The 13,193-nt window shown below is 42.7% G+C and overlaps 2 protein-coding genes across 12 annotated transcripts in view, besides 4 other annotated features; one reads left to right on the top strand and one right to left on the bottom strand.

Annotated features, from left to right (window-relative positions):
• Positions 1–13,193, top strand: part of AVEN (apoptosis and caspase activation inhibitor) — a 223,545-nt gene that overhangs the window by 31,201 nt on the left and 179,151 nt on the right. For 7 of the 10 annotated variants that reach the window (XR_007064480.1, XR_007064476.1, XR_002957667.2 and 4 more), the window contains exon 1: positions 4,921–5,345. The exons of the other annotated variants lie outside the window; for them this stretch is intronic. Coding sequence is in view for 1 of the 7 variants with exons in the window: in NM_020371.3 (NP_065104.1) it covers positions 5,079–5,345 (267 nt within the window). In the remaining 6 variants the exon portion in view is untranslated. Of the gene's footprint in view, positions 1–4,920; positions 5,346–13,193 lie in introns of those variants that run through there. 10 annotated transcript variants of the gene reach the window in all.
• Positions 1–13,193, bottom strand: part of CHRM5 (cholinergic receptor muscarinic 5) — a 98,962-nt gene that overhangs the window by 23,334 nt on the left and 62,435 nt on the right. The window lies entirely within an intron of this gene.
• Positions 4,829–4,998: a silencer, noted in NCBI's record as "silent region_6276". NCBI's record gives its function as "represses an Ori minimal core promoter by ATAC-STARR-seq in GM12878 lymphoblastoid cells {active_cell/tissue: GM12878}" and the evidence as "EXISTENCE:reporter gene assay evidence [ECO:0000049][PMID:35858748]".
• Positions 5,179–5,388: a silencer, noted in NCBI's record as "silent region_6275". NCBI's record gives its function as "represses an Ori minimal core promoter by ATAC-STARR-seq in GM12878 lymphoblastoid cells {active_cell/tissue: GM12878}" and the evidence as "EXISTENCE:reporter gene assay evidence [ECO:0000049][PMID:35858748]".
• Positions 5,479–5,538: a silencer, noted in NCBI's record as "silent region_6274". NCBI's record gives its function as "represses an Ori minimal core promoter by ATAC-STARR-seq in GM12878 lymphoblastoid cells {active_cell/tissue: GM12878}" and the evidence as "EXISTENCE:reporter gene assay evidence [ECO:0000049][PMID:35858748]".
• Positions 5,889–5,948: a silencer, noted in NCBI's record as "silent region_6273". NCBI's record gives its function as "represses an Ori minimal core promoter by ATAC-STARR-seq in GM12878 lymphoblastoid cells {active_cell/tissue: GM12878}" and the evidence as "EXISTENCE:reporter gene assay evidence [ECO:0000049][PMID:35858748]".

Below are 13,193 nucleotides of genomic sequence, written 5' to 3'. Positions count from 1 at the left end.
GTAAAGCCAAGAAGTTTTTTTTTTTTTTCATTTTTTTTAAAGGGCGAAAATACAGCATGCTTGTATGCTAATGTGAATGATTCATTAGAAGGTACCAACTGATGTGCAGGGGAGAGTGGGAGCATTTGCTGGAAAGACGTCCCCAAGTAGGTGATCACAGATAAGATCTAGTGCAGTAATAGAGGCCTTGGCCTTGGACTGGGACAGAGACCCCTCTATACTAACAGGAAGGAAGGCAGACAATATAGGTACAGATACAAGTAGGCTGGGAGTTGTGGTAATGGCAACACTGGAAATTCTTTTCTGGTTGCTTTCATTTCTTCATGAAATAGAAAGCAAAGTCAGCAGCTGAGAGTGAGGGTGGAAGGAGAGAGGAGAAGATATTGTCATGTATTCTGTATTTTGGGAGTTTGCTCCATGCATTTTCAGGAGTTCTCTAATCATGACTCCAGCCCTTCAAGTCAAAGTACCCTTATGACTTATGACCTGGTAAGCTCTTCACTTTCCCTTTTCTCCACCAGAGTACAGGCTGTGGATTCCAGGCTGAAAGAATAGCTCATGCCAGAGTCTCTCCCCCTGTAGCTGGTGAGCACCCTCAGTAGTAGATGGAGCTGTTCAAAACAACATAGTAAATAAAGACATCTTTCTGAGAAACTTATGTGTTTTCCAGTTTGCATTGTTTATATATTAAGCACGAGAAACTAGCTAAACTATAGAAAATCTGCTTGCCTATGAAGAGAAGAATCAGGAAGAGGTACTTTCCCCACAAACTTTATATTTGCAAGAGGACAGTGCATTTTTTTCTAAGTCCTATCATAACATCTACTTTTCGTCAAACAGTGAAAGCCTATGAGATCCATAGTCTTTTTTTTTTTTTTGAGACGGATTCTTGCTCGGTCGCCCAGGCTGGAGTGCAGTGGTGTGATCTCGGCTCACTGCAAGCTCTGCCTCCCAGGTTCACGCCATTCTCCTGCCTCAGCCTCCCAAGTAGCTGGGACTACAGGCGCCCGTCACCATGCCTGGCTAATTTTTTGTATTTTCAGTAGAGACGGGGTTTCACTGTGTTAGCCAGGATGGTCTCAATCTCCTGACCTCGTGATCCACCCACCTCGGCCTCCCAAAGTGCTGGGATTACAGGCGTGAGCCACCGCGCCTGGCCAATCCATAGTCTTAGACTAGGAATTACTGGGTTTCTTGTGATGTTTGAAGGCTCAGATGCTACCTTGACACAGTAGTTGAGGATGCATCAGAATCAACTGGCAGGTTTATTAAGACACAGATTACTGGGCCTCATCCCCAGAGTTTTAATTCTGAATTTGCATTTCTAACAAGTTCCCAGGTGATGCTATTTTTCTGGCCTACATTTTGAGAACAACTACCTTAAGGAATTGGCTACCATTTTATTTAAAAAATAACTTAGGTTGCCGGGCACGGTGGCTGTTGCCTGTAATCCCAGCACTTTGGGAGGCTGAGGCGGATGGATCACCTGAGGTCGGGAGTTTGAGACCAGCCTGACCAACATGGAGAAACCCCGTCTCTACTAAAAATACAAAAAAATTAGCCGGGCGTGGTGGTGCATGCCTGTAATCCTAGCTACTCAGGAAGCTGAGGCAGGAGAATCGCTTGAACCTGGGAGGCAGAGGTTGTGGTGAGCTGAGATTGCGCCATTGTACTCCAGCCTGGGCAACAAGTGCGAAACTCCGTCTCAAAAAAAAAAAAAAAAAAAAACTTAGGTCATGTATGTATTAAAAATATGCAAAAAGTACAGTTTCGTTTCTAAGGAGCTACCTATATAATTCAGCACTTTGGTTTTGATACTCATGAATTCTCATGAGTCCTACCTAAGGGAAAACTGAATTTTTTATTCATGCAATGGCATATGTTTAAAATCAGGACTATCAAGCAAAAGCAATACCAGAAAAGATTCCTTCCCTTTGTTATTTATGCAATCCAAAGGTCTCTGGTTGCTCAAAATGCAGGAGGTACTTGTGTGGTATTTTTAAACCTTAATAACACATTTTTGGACCAGAATCACACGAGGACAGCATATACCGTATCCTTGTTGAAAGAACTTTGGCTAGTTGTGTCCGCTAATTAGGAAGTGCTAGAAGGGGGACCTCAGAATTTTCCTATCCTAAACACTCTTGGTTGAATTGAGAAAAACAAGATACGCCTTGAATGAACAGATGGAGAGTAACATACCCCCGGACTTCTGAGGGCATCTGCAGAATAGACTTACAGGCATGGATTCTGGAATTAGACTGTACTGGTATAAATCCCAGTTCTGTTACTTACTAGCTTGAGCAAATTATTTAACTTTTTTGCAACTCAGTTTTCTTATCTGTAAAATAGGAATAATAATAGTGTTTATTTCATAGGGATATTTTGAAGATTTAATGAGTTAGTACGTGGAAAGTGCTTAGAATAGTATCAGGTGCAAAATAAGTGTTAAAAAAACTTGGCATCATCCACAAACCAATCTCTCTCTAAAATGGCATACCTTTCAAAAGTGTTACTGAGTCTTACACTGACTAGTTGAAAGTATCAAGCATAGTGAATGTGCCCTAATAACACTGGCTTAATCTGCAAGCCACTGATCTTTTCAACCTCATAATTTTGGAGGCTTCTCAAGGGATAGTTATATAGTTCCTTAAAGCCCTATTTCCCACTGGTCTCGTCTCTCACTACATTGGAGATGTACATATTAATCTCATACCAGACATTTGCCCAAATCAGGGTTTCTCAATGTTGGCAAATTTAAGGCTGGATAAATTTTTGGATAAATTACATCGGTAGCTCCTTAGATACTAAAACGTACCTTTTGCACCAATCTATCTGTGCTAGTGGTTCTCATCCAGGGTGATTGCCTCTCAGGGAACATTTGGCAATGTCTGGAGATGTTTTTGGTTGTCTTAATGAGGGGGAGAGGGGTTCATTCTGGCATCTAGTGGGTAGAGGCCAGGGATGCTATTAAATATTCTACAATGCACAGGATAAGCTACCGCCACAAAATGTTACCCAGCCCTAAATTTGCCAACATTGAGAAACTCCGATTTGTGCAAATGTCTAGTTTGAGATTAATGTGTGGATCTTCAACTTGGTGAGAGGCCAGACCAGTGATATGCTGGTAGATATTTAACCATATTCTTCCATGCCCCTTCCCCACTGCTATGGTCTAAATGTTCATCTCCCTCAAAATTCATGTTGAAATCTTTTTTTTTTTTTTAGACAGTCTCCTTCTGTTGCCCATGTACAATCACAGCTCACTACAGCCTCAACCTCCTGGGCTCAAATGATTCTCTATCTTAGCCTCCCAAGTAGTGGGACTATAGGCATATACCACCATGCCCAGCTAATTTTTGTAGAAATGGGGTTTCACCATGTTGCCCAGGCTGATCTTGAACTCATGTCTCAGGCAATCCACCCGCCACAGCCTCCCAAAATGCTGGGATTACAGGCACGAACCACACACCTGGCCTGTAACTGTGTAATCTTGGAAGTTACTTAACATCTGTTTTAGATTCCTGATCTGTAAAATGGAGACAACACTAGCTTACCTCGTAGGCCAGCTATTAGTCCCAAATGAAGTGATATGAGAAGTATGTAGAATAGTGTTTGGTGCATATAAGTGCTCTACAAGTGTTACTATTTTTAAGACTGTTTCTCTGGAGTTGACAATCCTTCAATAGTTCCCCCTGTCTGGAAGGCGCCCCTACTCCCATTTACCAACCAGGCAAACTCCTACTCAACCATTAGGCTTTAGCTCAGGGGTCTATTTCTCATGAAGCCTTGGGTAACCCGTTTAAATATAATTTAACTTTTCTTCTTTGGACCTTGATCTTGAATCTCTCACTGCACTCAGCAACACGGTACTGTAATCATCTATTCACACGACTAGATTATCTTCCTTGTGGGCAGTGAGCTACTTGAGGGCAGGGGCAAGGTTTTTTTTTTGTTTTTGTTTTTAATTTCAGGACATAGCACTGTGCCTGATGCAGAGTAGGCAATTAGAAGCAATGAAAAGTATTAACTATGTATGGATATAGGAAAGAACCAGAAAGTACTGAGGGGGAAGAAAACACTTATTCTGCTAGGCTGACATTTTAGCCCTTGCTTTCATTATTTTCAGGTGGTTTCAGTCCCAAGTTAAAAACTGCTTTCATGCATCTGTGTAACCAACTGTTCCCCTTCCTGTTTTCTCCTTGGTTGAAAGAAGGGACTGGAGTGAGACCGCCTTAGAATGCCAGTTCCACCACTACCTAGTTATTCACTTTAGTCAAGTTTTTTTTAACCTTTCCAAGGCTGTTACCTCACTGCAGAATAAGGATGACAGTCATCCCTACCTCATAGAGCTGTTATGAGAATGAAATACTCATGTGCTCAATAAATGTCAGCTGTAGTAGTCATTTCTACAGAAATTCTGCTGAGGACTTTGACGCCCTTTCTAGCCATCTCCCAGTTTCGCACTGTTCTCTCTCCCACGTGCTGCAGTCCACCTCTCACCAGACACAAACTCTTGTCTTTACATCCACACCTCCTGAACCCTGACTTCGGTATAGTTTTAAAATGATACACATTCGTTGCTGAAAATTAGATTAAACGGAGGAAAAAAAATTAACTCACTTCAAATCTCAGCAGTTAACCACTAACATTTTAGTATGTATTTGTTTAGACCTTTTCTTATGCAAATACATACGTTTAAACTTTTTTTTTCCGAGAGTTCACATCATACAAATTTTATTTTATGACTCGTCCTTGCACTTAGCACGGTCTCTCCCCCAACCTATCTCTGATGCCTTGAGAATCCCCCCGCCCCGCTGCAGACCCCCACCACTTCCAGCTCCCAGCGGTCCGGCCTTCCCGCGGTCCCGGTTCCGGCCCCACCTGCGGGACGCCGGCCGCCCCGCCCCGCCCCGCTCCGCTGCGGCCGGCCTCGATCCCTAGCCCCGCACCCCGCGCCTCGCTGCTACCGGGCGCCTTTCGCTCGCGGCTCCTCCGTGCGGCCCGCTTCCGGTGGGGCCAGGGCGTCTCCGCCGCAGCTCGGCTCCCGCGCGCTCAGCACCGCCAGCGGCGGCCAGATGCAGGCGGAGCGAGGAGCTCGGGGAGGCCGTGGGCGGCGGCCAGGCCGCGGCCGGCCTGGCGGAGATCGCCACAGCGAGCGGCCCGGAGCCGCAGCGGCGGTAGCCAGAGGCGGCGGCGGAGGCGGCGGCGGGGACGGAGGCGGACGCCGGGGCCGTGGCCGTGGCCGGGGCTTCCGCGGCGCTCGCGGAGGCCGAGGAGGAGGAGGCGCCCCGCGAGGCAGCCGCCGGGAGCCGGGAGGCTGGGGCGCAGGGGCCAGCGCGCCGGTAAGAGGCGACGGCTGGTGGGGCTGGGACCGCGTGTAACTGGGGCAAGTGGGGCCGAGGCCGCCAGTCAAGAGCCGCAAGAGAGCGTGCCAGGCGCGCGCCAGACGGGCGGCGGCGCCGGCGCCTGCGCGGGACGGGCGGATGGTGGCGCGGGGGCGCGCCTGGTGGCGGGGGCGCGCCTGGGTATGCGCTTGGCCCTCGTGGCCTCCTGGCCGGGCTGGCGCGAGACAGTGGGGGTAGGAGGGCTTCCCAGCCTGCCCCAGGGTCCGGGTTAGGAACCCAGAGGCCAAGGCCGTGTGTCAGGGCTGCAAGTCTCGGCGGCCCGTGGGCCGGCTGGGCTGTCTGTACGAGTACCACTATGGGACGGAGGCGCGGCCACGACGTGGTCCCTCGGCAGCCTTTACGGGCACGCTCCTGTTATTAGGAGGGAAAGGATTTTTTGGTCTGTTTTGTTAACTGTCTGTGCAATGCCTAGTACACAGTAGGCGCATAATAAAAAGTTTGTTGAGTGAAAGAATGACCCCTACGACTGGACTCTAGTATTTGGGGGCGGGACCAGATGCATAGTTCTTTGTAATAGCGTAGTTCTCTTTTATTATGCCTGTATGTGTAGAAATCAGCGAGCACTGGGCTTTGTCGTTTTGAATTTTCAATTTATAAATGAGCAGTCAAGTTCTGAGTTTTAATAGCAATATCATCAGTCTTATTGACACATTCATAGAAGGAAGTTTTTGGAGATTGGAGCAGGGGATGATATATATGGGGGCAAAGCTAACCATATCTCAGCTAAAGGAGTTAGAGGACTGTCTTTTTATGAGTTGTTCTGTTACCTTAACATCTGTAGGACAAGACCATCTTTATATTCTGCATTCTTATGCACACTGATTTAAAAAATTCTTTTTTGCATGAGGCAAAATTTGCTCTTACTGAAGTATTTACAATATCTTGAGGGCATAGCAGATAAGATATCCCTAAAGAGAGTAGTTGTATACAGCAATACAGAGCTGGAAAAAAAAGTATAAAACTTAAATTTAAATGTAACAAACTTAAATCTTGTTAGGATTAAGATAGGTAATAGGCAAAACTTGAATGAGATATAAAAACATTTTTAGGGTCAGTTTACCTCGTGTAAACTGACAGAAACTAAGGTAAATGACAGAAACTAAGACCAACCTAGTGCCCACTATATATCACATTTTGTTCTTATAACTCTATTATATATATATAATATATATGTAATGTAGAATTATGTAATATAATAGTATGTAATTATATATTAACTACAATGTTATATATTATTTATATATCCATATATAGAGAGTAATCTTTATTTTTACAGGTTAACTGACTTGCCTAAGCTTTCACAGCTAGTGGCAGAGCTGGGATTTATATCAAGCTGCCCTTGAGTCAACAGTATTTTATCTCTTACTTTTTCGTGAACCAGTTACCACTTTATTGAGAACAAAGTAGATATTCCTTAGCTGCAGGGATCGTGCTTTAAGAGTAATTGTAGTAATGGTACATTTGGTGTTAACTATGGTGTCTGGCGCACAGGACTTTACTAATAAGTGTCTTTAAGTTGAATTGAGTGAGTGAAGGTGCTTCTGTTTTGTTAATCTCTGTTGAATTAAATTGGGTGAAATGATGGTATATATTTTTTTTTTTTTTTTGAGACGGAGTTTTACTCTTGTTGCCCAGGCTGGAGTGCAATGGCATGATCTTGGCTTGCTGCAACCTCCGCCTCCCGGGTTCAAGTGATTCTCCTGCCTCAGCCTCCCAAGTAGCTGGGATTACAGGCATGAGCCACCTTGCCCGGCTAATTTTGTATTTTTAATAGAGATGGGGTTTCACCATGTTGGTCAGGCTGGTCTCGAACTCCTGACCTCAGGTGATCCACCCGCCTCGGCCTCCCAAGGTGCTGGGATATGGATTACAGGTGTGACCCACTGCGCCTGGTCATGATGGTATATCATTAAAAGAAAGAATAATACAAGACTTTAAAAAATTTAAGATAGTATTGTAACACATTCTGTTAAAATTTTAGGCTTTTTCTTTTGTCGAGTTGGTCTTATCCCTTCATCATCATGTTTTCAGCCAAAGCTGGAGGGAGGGATGTTGGGCAGATTGTTCCTTAATTTTGGTTTGGATTGGTCATCTCTAAGTTCCTTCCATTTCTCAGATTCTGAAGTACTGTTTGTATTTAGTCTTGCTAGGACACCATTTTTGGTGCTTAACCATTACATGAGACAAGATTGATTGACTTTCCTGAAGCCTTCTTGTTCTCATATCCCATGGTGCATTTGTGCCCCAAGGAGAGAGTAACCGAAATGATCAAAGGAAAAAAAAATCATAATAGACTCCTAGCCATGTAAAGACCAGTTGTCCACCTTCAGAAACCAATTTTGTGTACACCTTTGCTTTCTATTTTGGACCACTGCATACAAATGGAAAACAAAATCAATCTAACCAACTTCTACATAGCTATGTAATACTCCAGGGTAACTTAGTTGAGTACTAAGTTGAGTACATCTCTTAGTCTCTTGCTCTTAAATCATTCCTTCTGTAAATGGTCTGAGCTCTAAGCTTACTGATTATGGGTGAGCATAATTATCTTCACGGAATACTCACTAGAAGCATTATTGTACTAGATACAATCATTAACTTTAAAAAAAAAACACAAAACTGGCTGGGTGTGGTGGCTCGCGCTTGTAATCCCAGCACTTTGGGAGGCTGAGGTGGGTGGGTCACTTGAGTCTGGGAGTTCGAGACCAGACTGGGCAACATAACGAGACCCCCTCTCTATAAAAAAAATACAAAACTGCCGAGCATGGCGGGGTGCATCTGTAGTCCCTGCTACAAGGGAGGCTGAAGCAGCCGGATTGTTTTGAGCCCCGGAGGTGGAGGCTGCAGTGAGCTGTGATCCTGCCACTGCACTCCAGCCTGGGCAATAGAGTGAGACTCTGTCTCAAATAACTAACTTACTAACTAAATGAATAAATAATCCCCCTATCACTGCCCCCAATACTAGGATTGTTTAGTATTTATCTTTGTGATGGGCTGTTAGCAGAGAGGAAGACAAGGCCAGCTGGTAGTCTTTGGAATTTTTTTTCTTTTTTCCTTCCTCTAGTAATAACAGTAATTCACATTTGTCGAGTACTTAATATAAGATGAGACAGCTGAGGCACCGTTAAATAACTCACAGTTAGGAGAGGTGAAATAACTTTTTAATATCACTCAACCAGAAAATTGCTGAGCCTGGATTCCACCCCAGCATTTTCACTCCAGAGCCTGTTCTTTCGACTGCTGCTCTAAACTGCTCCTGGAATGACTTTGAGATTTGAAAAAGGGGTGTGTGGAGGACTGTTGAGTGATTCTTTCACATGCCTGATTATTTTTTTAACTGATATGTTAGTATGGTTATAAGGTTTTAAGGTAACATTGGTACCATCTTCAGTTATTGTGGGTGTTACCAGACCTTTGCTTTCTTGCTCCATGTTTATATTGCAGCTTTTCATATTCCTTTTAAAATGATTTATATTCAATAAAAGATGAGACAGCTGTTTATAGTTGTACTAAAAAGTAGAATCTGGAGGCATTTAATTCTGATCAAACTTTTGCTTTGTAAACAAAGCCTGAGTAGTAATTAATACCCGATGGCGTTGACATTTTCATTTCACTGGGTAAAAAGGAAATCTCTAATTTTCTATTCAAGTTTAGTGTGAACCTGGAGGGAAGAAATGGTGTCAGATCAGTTACAGGCAGGTGTCTAAGGACTTGCTCCTTCATTGTTGCTCAGAGTAGCCACCAGCCGCTTGTCAGCCAGCTAGAGACTGAGAGCCTGTTAAAAGCTCAAACTGAAATGACAGCCTCTAGACTTTATTTTCCTTTTTTTCCAGAAAGCCTGAAGCAAATTTGGTTAGAAACTGAATGTGCTTAAGTGTCCCAACAGAAGATTGCTTTAAGATTAGTTCTTGGTAATCCATGAAATTGACCTCTCCTCCTGCTGCAAACCATTGCACACACACTGTAATTATTTTGGCATCCTTATCCTTGTTAACATATTCTGTTTTTAAGTTGCTTTTCTCACTGACCACTATTTCACTTACATATTTTCAATATCAACACAGACAACTGAACTTTTTTGCTTGTATTCTGCCTAAAAAAATTTTGGGAAACCATGTACAATGTACTTTAAAGTTTATATCTAACATTTTTATCAATGGATCAGAGAATTTCAAAATATAAAATTTCCAACATATTGTATATATTGACTTTTTAAATAAAAACACAATTTTTATAAATTGATTTTTTCTTTTCCTTTTTTTTTTTTTTTAAAAAAGAAACTGGGTCTCACTTTGTTGCTCACGCTGGAGTGCAGTAGTGTGAGCAAAGCTCACTGCTGCCTTCAACTGCTGTACTCAAGGGATCCTCCCATCTCAGCCTCCTGAGTAGGTGGGAGTACAGGCGTGAACCACCATACCCAACTAATATTTTTATATTTTGTAGACATGGTCTCACTGTCTTGCCCAGGCTGGTCTCAAACTCCTGGGCTCAAGCAGTCCTCCCGCCTCAGCCACCCAAAGTGCTGGGGTTACAGATGTGAGTCACCACACTTGGCTCTGGATGGATTTTAAATACTAGAGTGATTTGATATTTGCCTTTAGCCATTTAAAAATCACATTAATAAATTATTTAGGCTGGGCGCAGTGGCTCATGCCTGTAATCCCAGCACTTTGGGAGGCTGAGGTGGGCAGATCACAAGGTCAAGAGATTGAGACCATCCTGGCCAAAATGGTGAAACCCCTCTCTACTAAAGATACAAAAGTTAGCTGGGCATGGTGGCGCGCACCTGTAATCCCAGCTACTTGGGAGGCTGAGGCGGGAGAATCGCTTAAACTTGGGAGGCGGAGGTTGCAGTGAGCCGAAATTGCGCCACTGCTCTTTACCCTGGAGACAGAATGAGACTCCATCTCAAAACAAAAAACAAAAAACAAAACCCAACTCTTTAGTAGTGTGAAGATTTCCATTGTTTCTTATTCTTTTTTACTTGTATTTTAATTCCCCATCTCCCACAGAACCTTATTCAACAGAATATATTTCATACTTGAAAGTTTTTTAGTGGTTACCATTTCATGTCTTCCTGTAATAAATGTTGACTTAAAAAATGTTATATAACTCTACAGGCTTGGGTGCTACTTTTTCTTTTAGATTGAATTAAGATTACATTGATTAATATATACAGTTATTTTGATTTGCAATTTTTTTTTTTTTTTTGAGACGGAGCCTCGCTCTGTTACCCAGGCTGGAGTGCAGTGGCACGATCTCGGCTCACTGCAATCTCCGCCTCTTGGGTTCAAGCAATTCTCCTGCCTCAGCCTCCTGAGTAGCTGGGACTACAGGTGCACACCGCCACACCCGGCTAATTTTTTGTATTTTAGTAGAGACGGGATTTCACCGTGTTGCTCAGGCTGGTTTTGAACTCCTGAGGTCAGGCAGTCCGCCCGCTTCTGCCTCCTGACGTGCTAGGATTACAGACATGAGCCACCGCGCCCAGCCTTGCAGTTATTAAACATAAAGGTAAAACTTCATTGTGAATGAGTCTCATTTTCCCTAGTGAGTTTGAGTATCCGTGGATGAACATTACTTATTGCCTGCACGAGATAGGATTCAGTGTCAATTCTTTTCCTAATTTTTGATTTTATAGATGTAAGGATTGAGAAACATTGTTCACATAAATAGGTAGATGGGAATGTTGGAGTTTTGCCATATCAATGTCACTCAGTTCATTAAATATCTCTACTTGTATGCCAAAAAGTTATTTTTAAAGTATTTTAAGAATCTGTCAAGTGATGACTGTATTAGGTTCTCCATCACTTTGATTGAAAGCAAATAATTGGAACTACCTGATTTGCAAAAGGACATATTACATGTTCTTTAGAGTTACACATCCTCAACATCTATATTTAAAATTATCCTATTGTTGAGGCTTGGGGAATACAGCCAGATTGAGAATGGCTGAAAAGCAGTTGTGCTGTCTTCAGGTGCCTTCTAGGGTAGACTGCTTTTGGGAAAGACCGTGGATCTTGAATATCTGGAAGTTGATTCCCTGAAAAACATACTGCTCATATACTCCTTGGAAAATCTTTCTGAACCCCTAGGTATGTGCACACTCCGTTTTGAGGACAGCTAAGATCATAGCCCCTTTGTTTCTTAGTAAGATGGTTCATTGCATGAATTCATTCAGAGCTTTTTTGTTTTCTGGCTATCCATCATTTGCAGAATATGGTTTCCAGGTTTTGTCATTCTTAATAGTGTTACTCTCTTTGTTTTAAACTGCTGCTAGGATGGAAAATAGCTCGCTCATAAATCGATACCACTGGCATGTGTTTTCTGGAAGAGTAGGTACTAAGTCATTGTTGGTTTTCTTATTTTTTTTCCAGAAAAAGTAGTGATTACTTTTTACAGCACTGGGCAAGTGACCTCTAGAGAGGTTACGTAGGTCATTTGATCCTAACCACACCATAGCATGACTTAACTAGCCTTTTTCTAGAAATTAGGTGGTTGCAAAGGTGTTTTCTATTCAGATGTCACTATTTCTTGATGCACTTTGAAGTATCAAAGGGAGCAATAAAGACCATAGTGACACATAGTAATTTCTATTTGATAGAAGCTACTGACTAACTTATTACGGCACTGGATTAGTTCTCTTTGATTTTTTTTTTCTTTTGTTAGAAGCCCTGTGTGTGTGTGTGTGTGCGTGTGCGCGCGTATGTGTGTGTTGAGGTGCCAGAAATAAGTACTTTAATACTTTTTCTCTTGGATGGAAATAATTAACAGCTTTGTTAGTCTGAAAATTTTCTACAAAGGTGTCATGGGGCAGTGCATGGATAATGGTTATGGAGAATATTTCACTTTTGAGTGGGTTTTGTCAGAGGATGCTGAAAAGAAATACAAACTGATGTGTGTGTTTTATCTTGATGCTGCTAGGATGCTGTTGTTATAATCTGACCAACCTGATTTTGTAAGCCTTAAATTGCTTAAAAGGCAATTCCTGTGAAGAACAACACTGCCAAGGATGCTGTTTCCTACCGCCCATATCACATCATTGGTGTGTGTGCAAACAGCACAACAATCCAAAAAAAAATAGGAGATTAATGGAATGCATTCCCTGTTGTAAAAACTTAATTCTACCTTTGAGTCCTCTTGCCATTAAGGACTGATACGAATCTGTCTGATCCATATTTCTTTAGTACCAAGTCAAACTTACATTGAGGGATAGCAAACATTTTAATATTAACCTAAGCAGTCTGGGCATGGTGGCTCATGCCCGTAATCCCAGCACTTTGGGAGGCTGAGGCAGGCAGATCACCTGAGGTCAGGAGTTCGAGACCAGCCTGACCAACATGATGAAACCCTGTCGCTATTAGAAATATAAAAATTAGCCAGGCATGGTGGCATGCGCCTGTAATCCCAGCTACTCGGGAGGCTGAGACAGGAGAATCGCTTGAACCCGGGAGGCGGAGGTTGCAGTGAGCTGAGATCGCGCCATTGCATTCCAGCCTGGGCAACAAGAGCAAAACTCAGTCTCAAAAAAAAAAAAAAAAAAAAAAATTAACCTAAGCAAAGCATAATTGGGATAATAGGCTGTTACAAAAAAAAACTCATATGTATTCTTTTGGCTTATTATCAGTGTTGTGATTCCTCTATTTTTGTATTTAACTGTGTCAAGTTACTGACACCAAGAGTTTGTTAATAGATGTATATTCTGTGAAACGAACATAGTCATCTATTTTGGATTTCTGTAATTTCTGGCTTGAAAAGACCATTCACAGTTACATTTGGGGAAAA

The sequence above is a fragment of the Homo sapiens genome, chromosome 15, assembly GCF_000001405.40.
Source record: "Homo sapiens chromosome 15, GRCh38.p14 Primary Assembly".
Taxonomy (NCBI): Eukaryota; Metazoa; Chordata; class Mammalia; order Primates; family Hominidae; genus Homo; species Homo sapiens.
Note: the sequence above shows the minus strand (reverse complement) of the source record. Positions and strands in the feature narration are given on the sequence as shown.